General features: G+C 41.3%; 1 protein-coding gene and 1 pseudogene across 1 annotated transcript, besides 2 other annotated features; one reads left to right on the top strand and one right to left on the bottom strand.

The window, feature by feature from the left end:
* RPS6P16 (ribosomal protein S6 pseudogene 16) lies at positions 1168-1847 on the top strand (annotated as a pseudogene).
* PTS (6-pyruvoyltetrahydropterin synthase) lies at positions 3238-10783 on the bottom strand. The gene is made up of 6 exons (NM_000317.3): positions 10685-10783; positions 8538-8617; positions 6981-7003; positions 6529-6585; positions 3978-4048; positions 3238-3779 (listed from the first exon to the last, which is right to left on the bottom strand). The coding sequence occupies exons 1-6, from the start codon at positions 10765-10767 to the stop codon at positions 3656-3658; spliced, it is 438 nt and encodes a 145-aa protein (NP_000308.1). The 5' UTR covers positions 10768-10783; the 3' UTR covers positions 3238-3655.
* Positions 9851-10145: a silencer, noted in NCBI's record as "tiled region #3969; K562 Repressive DNase matched - State 1:Tss". NCBI's record gives its function as "represses a minimal TATA promoter and a strong SV40 promoter by Sharpr-MPRA in K562 cells {active_cell/tissue: K562}" and the evidence as "EXISTENCE:reporter gene assay evidence [ECO:0000049][PMID:27701403]".
* Positions 10503-10912: a silencer, noted in NCBI's record as "silent region_3906". NCBI's record gives its function as "represses an Ori minimal core promoter by ATAC-STARR-seq in GM12878 lymphoblastoid cells {active_cell/tissue: GM12878}" and the evidence as "EXISTENCE:reporter gene assay evidence [ECO:0000049][PMID:35858748]".

The raw sequence follows: 12340 nt of genomic DNA, 5'->3' as shown, positions 1-12340 counted from the left end.
AGGGTGGTTATGGGGATGAAATGAGGTCATATAAGAAGTATTTAGCAAAATGCCTGACACCACAATGGGCACTGCACAATTAGCTCGATTCTCCTTCTTCCATCTATTTCCACTGCCACCCCCATGGTCCAGGCACCCATCACTTCACGTCTAGATTCCTGCAACAGCTTTGCAAATAGCTTCCTCACTTTCCTTTGTCCACCTGGTTATCTTCTTTAAAAAACAAATAGCTTGCTATTCCTCAAAAGATAAAGAATGATTGACATTCAAGGCCCTCCAGGCTGTCCCCAACCTGTATTTCCAAGTTCATTTCTCATTACACTCTCACACCTCACTACCACTCTACTAAGATCAATATATTCACTATAACCTAAATATATTTTGTATATTCCCACCCCAGTAACTGTGCTAATGAAATTCTACCCATTCAGTATTCATTCCCTCTTTCCTCCTAAGTTCCAAACCACCACTCTCCCTACCCCATCACTGAAAGTACCATTCCTCCACTAAGCTTTTCCAAACCTCATCACCCCATAATGATTTTTTTCCTTCCCTACATTAAGAATATTTACTCATTTGGCATACAGGAACAAAAGTTCTCTTGAAGCAACTCATGAACAAGTACCTGGAGTGTTAATGTTACTCTGAAAAATGTTTTCTAATATGGTATCAGATCTGCAAAATTCTGCATTAAAAAAAATGTGGCAGGGCACAGTGGCTCACGCCTGTAATCCCAGCACTTTGGGAGGCCGAGGTAGGTGGATCACTTGAGGTCAGGAGTTCAAGACCAGCCTGGCCAACATGGTGAAATCCCGTCTCTACCAAAAAATACAAAAATTAGCCAGGGGTGGTGGCGTGCTCCTCTAGTCCCAGCTACTCAGGAGGCTGAGGCACGAGAATCACTTGAATCCAGGAAGCAGAGGTTGCAGTCAGGTGAAATTGCACCACTGCACTCTAGCCTGGGCAACAGAGTGAGACGCTGTCTCAAAAAATAAATAAATGAAAATAGAAATGAAAAATGAAAGCAGAAGTCAGGCCTCTTTTTCATGGCACCTCAGAGACGATCGGCTGCTTCAAGATGCTTCAGTGATGGGGTAGGGAGAAAGGTGGTTTGGAACTCAGGAGAAAAGAGGGAACGAATACTGAATGGGTAAAATTTCAAGATAAAAAGCAAACCTTGCTGTTTATGAGAAGTGTATGGCCACAGAAGTTGCTGCTGATGCTCTGGGTAAACACTGGAAGGGTTACGCAGTCTGAATCAGTGGTGGGAACAAGGTTTCCTCATGAAGCAGGATGTCTTGACCCATGGCCATATCTGCCTGCTGCTGGGTAAGGGGCATTCCTGTTATAGACCAGGGAGAACTGGAGAAAGAAAACAATAATCTGTTCAGGCGTGCATTGTGAATGCCAATCTGAGTGTTCTCAAATTGGTTATTGTTAAAAAAGGAGAGAAGGATATTCCTGAGCTGATCCTATGGTGTCTCATCTCCTGGGGTCCAAGATCTAGAAGAATGAGCAAACTTTTCAATCTCTCTCAAGAAGATGATGTCTGCCACTATGTCGTAAGCAAGCACTTAAACAAAGAAGGTAAGAAACCTAGGACCAAAGCACCCAAGATTCAGCATCTTGTTCCTCCACGTGTCCTGCAGCACAAATGCCAGCATATTACTCTGAAGAAACAGTATATTAAGAAAAATAAGGAAGAGGCTCCAGAATATGCTAAACTTTTGGCCAAGAGAATGAAGGAGGCTAAAGAAAAGCACCAGGAACAGTTGCCAAGAGACACAGACCGTCCTCACTGCAAGCCTGTACTTCTCAGTCTGAATCCAGTCAAAAATAAGATTTTTGGCCGGGCACAGTGGCTCACACCTGTAATCCCAGCACTTTGGGAGGCCGAGACAGGTGGATCACGAGGTCAGGAGATCGAGACCATCCTGGCCAACATAGTGAAACCCCATCTCTACTATAATACAAAAAATCAGCCGGGCATGGTGGCGCATGCCTGTTGCCTCAGCTACTCAGGAGGCTGAGGCAGGGGAATTGCTTGAACCTGGGAGGCGGAGGTTGCAGTGAGCCGAGATCGTGCCACTGCACTCCAGCCTGGTGACAGAGCAAGACTCGGTCTCAAAAAAAAAAAAAAAAATTAAATTGAATAACAAATAAGTAAGATCAGACTCTCAAAAAATCTGGAAATATTCAAATTGTCCCTTTTCAGAGTCTGTGTTTTGGAGTCAGAAAGACCCTGAATGTTAAACATCCAGTTTGCAATTTATTTGCTGAATGATCTAAAGCAAATAGTTTAAACTCTCTCAACTTTAATTATCTTACCTAAAGAATGAGAATACCTACCTTGCAGGGTATTTGTGTGAATTAAAACATAAAGTGTCTTAATAAATAACAGCTATCTGCCTTTCAAGTAATCAATACAAAACATTCTACATAGAGAACAAATTGTTTGATAACTAAAATACATTCAAATATAATTCAGTGGCCATTTGCATTACTGTCAAACTTTATATTTCTGCAATCACTAGAAAAGACTATTCTTTGCAAGTTTTTCTAGAATAGTAATCACTGCAAAAGTCCTTTTACTATTTTCAGGCAACAACATTCTGGGAATTCATTGTATACTAGTTGCTATGTGGAGAGAAAATCAGAACCCTGCGTTTAAGACATTTAGAAAACAAACAAGAACACAGAACAGTCTTCCGTGCAAAGTAAGCAAATACTTTCTTGTGGATTTAGTCACGAGGAAAAGATCCCAGAGAAGAATGCCAAGCATATAGTAAGTTTAATAATCAGAACAAAATGGGATCAATTAGGAAAAACTATATACAGGAAATATTTTATATGGTAGTTGATCCTTTTTATGCTGACTATTTTTTAGAGTTTAAAATATGATTATTCTGCAGTCTTCTGAGTTGAAATTATTCAAGTGCCCATCAGGTTCAGAAATTCAGAGGAGTATACTGAATAATTTACTGATATTCCATGATATGTTTAATGTGTTGTTCCTCACTAGCAATTCATAGTTCAATACGCTGTGCAAAATTGTAATGAATGATGTGCTCTAAAGCAGCATTTCCATCAATATTTGTACGTGTATCCACAACAGATGCCTCACATGATTTGTGTGTCTAATTTTCACTGAATCCACTTATGCCTTCAGCACACCCAACAAGTAGTAATCAAGAGAGTTCAATCTATTAAATATACATATATATATTGTCTCCAGACTTTGTGGTCACTTGAATTTTATTTCTTTAAGATTCACCTACTCGAAGTCACATAAGCATTTTAACCATGTATATTATACCAAGTAAAAATTAATACTAAAATGAGGTAATGGAGAAAACAAAATTAGATTTCTTTTGCTTTCAAATAATCCCACACCAAAACATTTTGTGAAAATGAAGTGATTTTTAATTTATAAATAAAAGACTCTCTAAATGATTTTCAGGATGTATATTACAAGTTTAGTTTTAAATAGACTTAAATTTATAACAGGTCTTACAATGATTTCAATAAATAGGCACTCCAGAGCACAATGTGTACGTACAACAATCACGTGTTGACCTCTTAATATTCCAAGGGGATCAAAATCTTTTTCAAACACAGAAAGAAACTGGGCTTTGTGCAATGCTAACCCCAATAGCTATTCTCCTTTATAAACCACAATATTATTGTCAGTTTCGTATACTTTTACTTTATAAAGAACTCCTACAGGAAGAACTTTCTGGAGGTTGTCCCAGATATAAACAGCTACATTTTCAGTCGTGCTATAAGAAAAAAAAACAAAAACAAAAAAAATTCAAAATGCAAACAATAAAATTTCATGTTTAATATTTACAGAAAATAGAAATTCTAGTTTCGAAAGATTTCATTAAATTAAAACTTCAGAAATCACACAACAATCAAAGTATTCAAATCAATTCTTGTTTTACAATCCACATAAGGCAAGATACAGTGCCACCCACCTCACCACATCTGCAAAGTATGGCACATCCATATCCAGATTCTTATGATCAAGGGGCTGCATAATCGCCTCCTAGAGACAAAACCAAGGGAAAATATCATTGACTCCATTTACGACTCAAATTCCAAATTGTTCCACTTATGCCTCTAAACCTCACCTTATCACTTAGCCACTAACTAAATATTTGTAAGTACTAGATTTGAGTCTTACAAGGCAACTTTACAAAATTTCAAGTTGTAAAATAAAGTCAGGCCCAGCTGTCGGTAATGATTAGGAATCCTTGTTACTGAATAAAAAGAGGTGAGAAACCAAAAAGCAGAGAATTCCTGGAGCTTTCTCGCAACACAAGCCATTGTAATTCAGAATTCAGTTTAACACTTTGTGAATCCTGTCCAAACAGTTAGCACAAATATTTTTCCATAACACTGTCACACCTACGGAACAATGCCACAATATCATAAGGACAAAGATCCAGTGACTACTACATTTTATAAAGCAGACCTAGACTGAAATTATGTAAGTAGTTCTAAATTTTTGCTATGAGGAATAATTTAAGAATGATCTTGGGCTCATAGAAGGAAAAATATATATATGTAAAGACTATTACTCCCTAATGCTCGTGTATATTAACATAATGTTTTTCCTCATCATCAGCAAGGATTAAATTGCCTCATTCTTTCTAGGTTTTTGCTTTTAGCTATTGCAAAAAATCTAAGCATCTGTGAAAAAAAAATGTAATTTTCCATAGGACGTAGTTTGAAGAAGGGTACATTAATAACAGTAACAGCAATCATTTCTTGAGAAAAACTAGAATCATACAAAAAGAGTAAGTCCTAGATCAAACAGTTATTGAAATATATCCAATGAAGGGATGTTCCACATGAATAACAAGAAAACGGGCATCCTTGCTTCATCTTCAATCCCAGTTCCAGTCCCAATTTCTCCATTAAAGCCTCTTATGCAGGGCTTTTTGTTTTCTTTTGTTTTGTTTTTAGAGACAGGGTCTCTGTCATCCAGGCTGGAGTGCAAGTGGCATAATCATAGCTCACTGCAGCCTTGAACTCCTGGACTCAAGCAATCCTCCCCCCACGGTAGAGCTCTAACTTTACTCTACATGCCATGATAAGCCACTTTTACTGATGAAAGTGTGTGGTGTCCTTCAGGCATACAAAAGCAGAAAACAGCATAGAGAAGCCCTCCTCCAGTATTTAGTCATATGTTGAGGCCTTTTATGTTGCTGTCTTGTCTCTTTTCTTTCTTTTCTTTTCTTTTCTCTTTTTCTTTTTCTTTCTTTCCCCTCCCCTCTCCTCCCCTGTCCTCCCCTCCCCCTCCTCTTCTCCTGTCTCTGTCTCCCTCTCTCTCTCTCTCCGCCTGCCCCCCAACCCCTGCCCCATAAATGCATGCTGGCCCTATCTGTATAACTTTCCTAAAGTATTTTGAGCATAGTGCTGTTTCTTCATTCACTCATTCTTCTACTCATTTATTAAATCAACAGTTATTTAATAATATTCTTCACCTCCTAGAAAAAGTAATGTATACACTCTGTGGGCTACATCTCATTCATCTTTGTACACTTAGCTCAAAAACTGATGCGAAGTAGAGAAATTTGTTGAATATATGAATAAGTAATGTGAAAGAAGTAATCATTACTAATAACATCATTTTAATCAAGCAAATGTCAAATCTCAGAACAAACCTAAGCTGCAAGTGAAATGACAGCATAATAAAACAGCTGGAAGGAAAGAAATCTACTCCCAGCTTTGCAAATGACTAGCCATATGACCTGGGGCAAGTCAGTTAACTGTTCAGCATCTCTCAATCTTAATCTATGGGTTGAAGAAGTTGGTCTGAATAATCTCCAAAGTCTCTTACAGTGCAAGAATTCTATAATGACACAATCAGTTAAGTTCTTCATTGAACACCTTGTGTGTTATCTCTATGAGGTACTGCTCTGGTGAGTTTATAATAAAGCTAGAATGAACAACACAGTGTGGTGTCTAAATCTATGATCAAAGGTACAAGGAATATTCAGAGAGGGAAGAGAAAGCTCCAAGGAGAAGGCCAGGAGCAGTAGCTCATGCCTGTAATTCCAGCACTTTGGGAGGTCAAGGCAGGAGGTGTCTGAGACCAGCCTGAACAACATAGTGAGACCCCTACCTCTACCAAAAAGAAAAGTTTGCATTGGTTCTGTGCCTATTTAAAAAAAAAAAAAAAAAGAAAGACAGTAAGTCTCAAGGAGAAAGCTATGTCTTAAAAGAAATGGAGAATTTGTTAACTGAAGGAAATCAGGATATTCCAACAAGGAATACAAGGTGAGCATGTTATATTTCCTCCCATCGCTGTAACACAACTGTGACTAATTTCCGTTAAGTCACCAAAACACCTTTAGAGGCCATGCGAGCAGTTCTTCCAACTATTCCCCAACACCCACATCCAGTTCTATTCACAAAGTCATGGAACCTTAGGAGATAACTGGTTGGGGAGGTAGATAGGGGGCCACCAAATATTACAGTTAGGGAATAGCACATAATAAGCACCCAACATGCCATTACCTCCATATATTTTTTGAGATCAGCCAGATTCATAACCATTCCCGTAGCAGGGTCAATCTAAAGAATAAACAAAGGTGAATATTACTGTGATAGGCTCTCCATATTAAACGGCTGGCAAATTATTAAAGGCAGTACAATGTGCAGAGACTGTGCCCACATTTGCACATTTGCCTTCATCCCAGAGATAATCATTGACCTCAGCATGGAAGCACCATGTACTTCAAGCATCCTTTTCATTGTATAGCCCTTCTACCTGTCCACATACAGCATATTAAAGACAACACTTTGGTAGAGGAGAGGCCTGGAATGGCGGCAGCTCACCACACACACATATACAAGGGCCAACAATGAAGCAATACTGACTGGAACAGTTTTCAACACAGAATCCACCACACTGGCTGAAAGAGAGCCCAGCAATCTGCAAAAACCACACAAATATTTTCTGCACATACCTCTCCATGTACTGTCACCACAACTATGGAAAGAAAACAAAATACAAAAAAAACAGCATGACTTTCAACAGATCAACATCCAAGCACAAGTTAGCAACATACAAGCACAAGTTGGCAACATAAATTATTAGATCTGTCCCCAAAAGCTATACTTAAATATTTACCCCAAAACATCTGTTATTTTAGTTAAGATTTTTTTTTTAGCAACCAAAGCAAGACACAATCGAGACAAAGGAGCTTAGTAGGAATGTTGGCTAAGCAGAGGCACTCGGCCAAGGCTGAAAAGGGTGTAAATTCTGCTTATGTTAATGCACTAGGGAGCATCAAGATGCTGCTCAGTCTCTGCCTGTAGAAGTAGAAAATGTCTTTCAGGTGTCCAGCTACACAGCAAGCTGGTCCAATACTGAGCAGTACCTTTCTGAACAAGCAATACTACTGGGCCTTAAATTCTTGTCCCCTTACTCACATGAATGTATACAAAGTCTAAAGTAATGCTTTGTAAATTAAAAAGTGCTTGTGAGAAGCATTTGAAAAATCTTGGCCAGGCGTGGTGGCTCAAGCCTGTAATCCCAGCACTTCGGGAGGCCGAGGCGGGCAGATCACCTGAGGTCTGGAGTTTGAGAGCAGCCTGGCCAACATGGTGAAACCCCATCTCTACTAAAAATACAAAAATTAGCCAGGCATAGTGGCGGGCGCCTGTAATCTCAGCTACTCGGGAGGCTGAGGCTGGAGAATCGCTCGAACCTGGGAGGTGGAGGTTGTAGTGACGGGAGATCACACCATTCCAGCCTGGGCAAAAAGAGTGGAACTCCATCTCAAAAAAAAAAACAACAACAACAAAAAAAAACTTTATCAGTGCTTTACACATTAATAACTTTTATGAATTTATGTATTTTAGTTCTGTACAAATACCATTAGATATTACATGTAAGTGAGTACACTGAGACTGAGATACCATAGATTAAGGAAGAGGCTGTAGCTAAACCAGTAATCCTAATCTCCTGACACCTTGTCTGTTTTTTTTTATGCCACCACACCACATACTGTTTTATACTCTACGACTTATGTACCTGTTTTTTAAGGCAGGCTGTACCTCAAAGAATCAAGTCTCTTATCCTTGAACAAATTACCTACTTTCTTCGAACACTGCTGGCAAAGCTTTAGACCAAACCTATTTTTCTGCCATACATTACATTCCTAGGCAACATTCCCCTTTTGTCAGTCATTATTTACTCAAAGAATAAAATCTAATTTTAACATTAGCCTTGGCCATACCTAATCAGAAAGAAACTTGTTGTGTACTCTAGGACAAAGAAAAATGCTTTAAACCATTCATTGTTTTGGACTGTTTGTAAGAGTTGACATTGCAAGGTAAAACTTAACACACACCCAACCAAGACAACAGATCCTTTCATTCTGAACTCCCATTTAATTTCTCATTCAAGGCTCAAAGCATTCACACTGTGTCCGTAAGTTTTCCCATTCTTTATGTCTACATTTGCTGAATACTCTTTCATCCTTATTGAAGGGCTGAAATGTCATCAGTTTTTCTCTCACCTTTATAATTGTGCCCATGGCCATTTGGATTGTTGCATTTCCCAAACAGTTTCAAGTTTTCTTCATCACTTAGAAATTTACTGACCAAAAAAAAAAAAAAAAGTCAGCATGACACAAGTATCACATTCAAACCCCCTTCTCTGTTCCTTATATTTATTATTTGTACTGATCTTTGAAAAGTTTCCCAATTTATTACTTTAGCTCACCAAAGGGAGAGTCAGAAATCATGTTGATTTTATTACTTACGTATACGTCACAAACCATGGCATATTCCCTAATTAGAAGATTGTACCATACAAATTAGCACAAACAAACCTTAACTTCAACCCCCTTGTTCCACAGCAACTGATCTGCTCATGGGCCTTCCACTTTTCAATTCAACATTACTGAGTGCCTACAATGTAACAGGCAAGTGCTGAATGAAATAACAGCATATAATGATAAACATAGATGGTGATCCGCAAAGTGGCTTACTATCTCATTTCTCTCAGAAGCTAAACTACTCATCCAGAAAAAATAATTTAAAAAAATTACATGACCTGGTAAGTCTCCTATTTAGCAATCTTGCTTTATACTATGTCTCAACTACTGCCTCATGAGAACTTTACCAATCTGTTGAGGAATATTCCAAGCAGGTGAATTTTTAAAATTACAATCTTTGGCTGTCGTCTCAGACAGAAAACAAATTGCTTAATGTTTATACTTATACCCATCCATTCAATTTCGCATCGTCTATGAGACCTTACCACCCTCAGGTGTTTAAGCTTATTATACAACCCCTTTTTTTTGAGATCCTCTTTATTATTCCCCCCAATGTAGTTTGGATGTTTGTCCCCTCCAATTGTCATGTTGAAATGTGATCCCCAGTGTTGGAGATGGGGCCTAGTGGGAGATGTTTGGCTCATGGAAGTGGATCCCTTATGAATGGCTTGGTGCCCTCCCTGAAGCAATGAGTGAGTTCTCGCTCTATTAGTCAATGGGCGAGCTGGTTGTTAAAAAAAGCCTGGCACCTCCTCTCCTCTCTCTTGCTCCCTCACTTGCCCTGTGAGTTGCCTGCTTGCTCGCCCTTCGCCTTCCACCATGAGTGGAAGGTCCCTGAGGCCTCAACAGAAGCAGATGCTGGTGCCATGCTTCTTGTACAGCCTGCAGAACCAAATAAACCTCTTTTCTTTATAAAATACCAGTCTCAGTATTCCTTTGTGGCAATGCAAAATGGAATAACACACCCCCACTTTCTCCTGCTCAGCCACTTCTTGTATTTAGAGTGCTAAAGTCTTTTGCACAAAATTTTCTCAGTGTACCCTCCACAAAATAGGCCAGATTGGAAACCCCATACAAGATCCCTGATGCATCCGTTACCTAGCACAAGCCCTGACAAGCACGAAACAAAACCTGGTTTAGCGAATGGAGGGATGAATCCTGTTAGATAGCGATGGTCATCCTCATTTCACAGACGACGATACGGAGGGCCAGAGGGTGGAGCTGGTTAGTGCGTGGTAAAATTCCTCAAAATCAACTCGTCAGTGCATGCAAGCAGTATGTATGATCGGGATTCAAATCCCAACTATGCTGCTTCGGAAACTGAACGTCTGGGCTCATTTTTTTTTTTTTTTCTCCTAGCCACTAGACCACCAGGGACTGGGTTCATCCAGTCTTTGGTAAAAAAGGGGCTAAAATTTGCCTTGTAATTACATTAGATATGGTGGCCAATGCTCCTGGCATACAAGATTAGCTAACATTTACTGAGTGTCTACGCCGCGCCAGGTACTGTGTAACATAGGCGAGTTTAACACTGCTGAGTTTCACAGCAACCCTGTGGTCTACACCAAGGGACTCCTAGGGGCAGAGACGTTTCTTCGAGTCGCAGAACCGGGTGTGGGCCCCGCACCCAGACGTGGGCCATCGCCCTCCGCAGTCGGCTCCGTTAACCATCAAGCTCCCCCACCCCTCCAGGGCTGGGGACACTCCAGCCCCCATCAGGATGCTGGAGGCCGTCCGAAGCCCCACGAAGCCGACCAGCGCGCGTCGCCCCAGCAGCCCCCGCGCCCCTCCCGGGCCCGACGTCAGCACGCCCGCCGGCCCCGCCCCGGTGACGTTCCGGGGCCCGGCGCCCACCGCCCGCCGCTGTACCTGTGTGCACACCCTACCTGTACAATCGGTGGCTCGCGCTGAAGGAGATGCGGCGGGACACTTGTGCCTGGCAGCGACGGCCACCACCTTCCGTGCTCATCTTCCCGGCGCTGTCTGCGGTGCTCGGCCGGCACCTCCTCCCGCCGCGCGGCCGGTGCCTCCTCCCACCGCGGCTGCGCAGTGCGTGCCAGACGCGCCCCTAGGAAGTGCGTCTCCGCTTCCGCTCTGGCCAATCCCGGCCTCGGGAGACAGTTAAGGGTGTCTCTCGCTATCTGAATCTCTTCGGAGAGCAAGATTTGGGATACCTAAGCATACCCTGGAGTGGTCAGGGTGGGTGGGGACCCTGTGTCCTTGATCTGTTTGCCCCGCCTGAGGTCACGCCACGTAGTTAGGGCCCGTCTGGGCACACTTTGGGTCCTGAGTGACCTCTCTGAGCCTCCTCTCCCACTCTCTCCTGTAAAGCTCCAGTGACTGGTGACTCAATCGGATGAACCCCAGGGCCACAGTCCGCTTTATAGACCAAAAGGAGCAGGAATTGAGCCAGGCGGGCGTGGTGACGCACTCCTGTAGCCCCAGCTATTGAGAAGGAGAGGGATCACTTCAGCCCAGGAGTCCAACCTGGGCAATAGAGCAAGACCCTCGTTTCTCTTTTTCTTTTTTCTTTTTAATTATTATTATACTTTAAGTTCTAGGGTACATGTGCACAACGTGCAGGTTTGTTACATAGGTATTCATGTGTTATGTTGGTTTGCTGCACCCATCAACTCGTCATTTACATTAGGTATTTCTCCTAATGCTATCCCTCCCCCAGCCCCCTACTCCCTGACAGGCACCGGTGTGTGATGTTCCCCACCCTGTGTCCATGTGTTCTCATTGTTTGATTCCCACCTATGGGTGAGAACATGCAGTGTTTGGTTTTCTGTCCTTGTGATAGTTTGCTGAGAATGATGGTTTCCAGCTTCATCCATGTCCCTGCAAAGGACATGAATTCATCGTTTTTATGGCTGCATAATATTCCATGGTGTACATGTGCCACATTTTCTTAATCCAGTCTATCATTAATGGACATTTGGGTTGGTTCCAAGTCTTTGCAATTGTGAATAGTGCCACAATAAACATACAGGTGCATGTGTCTTTAAAGTAGCATGATTTATAATCCTTTGGGTATATACCCAGTAATGGGATGGCTGGGTCAAATGATATTTCTAGTTCTAGATCCTTGAGGAATCGTCACACTGTCTTCCACAATGGTTGAACTCATTTACACTCCCACCAACAGTGTAAAAGCATTCCTATTTCTCCACATCCTCTCCAACATCTGTTGTTTCCCAACTTTTTAATGATCGCCATTCTAACTGGTGTGAAATGGTATCTCATTGTGGTTTTGATTGGCATTTCTCTGATGGCCAGTGATGATGAGCATTTTTTCATGTGTCTGTTGGCTGCAGAAATGTCTTCTTTTGAGAAGTGTCTGTTCATATGCTTTGCCCACTTTTTGATGGGGTTGTTTGATTTTTTTTCTTATAAATTTGTTTAAGTTCTTTGTAGATTCTGGATATTAGCCCTTTGTCAGATGGGTAGATTGCAAAAATTTTCTCCCATTCTGTAGGTTGCCTGTTCACTCTGATGGTAGATTCTTTTGCCGTACAGAAGCTCTTTAGTTTAATTAGATC

This window comes from Homo sapiens, chromosome 11 (genome assembly GCF_000001405.40).
Source record: "Homo sapiens chromosome 11, GRCh38.p14 Primary Assembly".
Classification (NCBI taxonomy): domain Eukaryota; kingdom Metazoa; phylum Chordata; class Mammalia; order Primates; family Hominidae; genus Homo; species Homo sapiens.
This window is presented reverse-complemented; position numbering and strand designations above follow the sequence as displayed.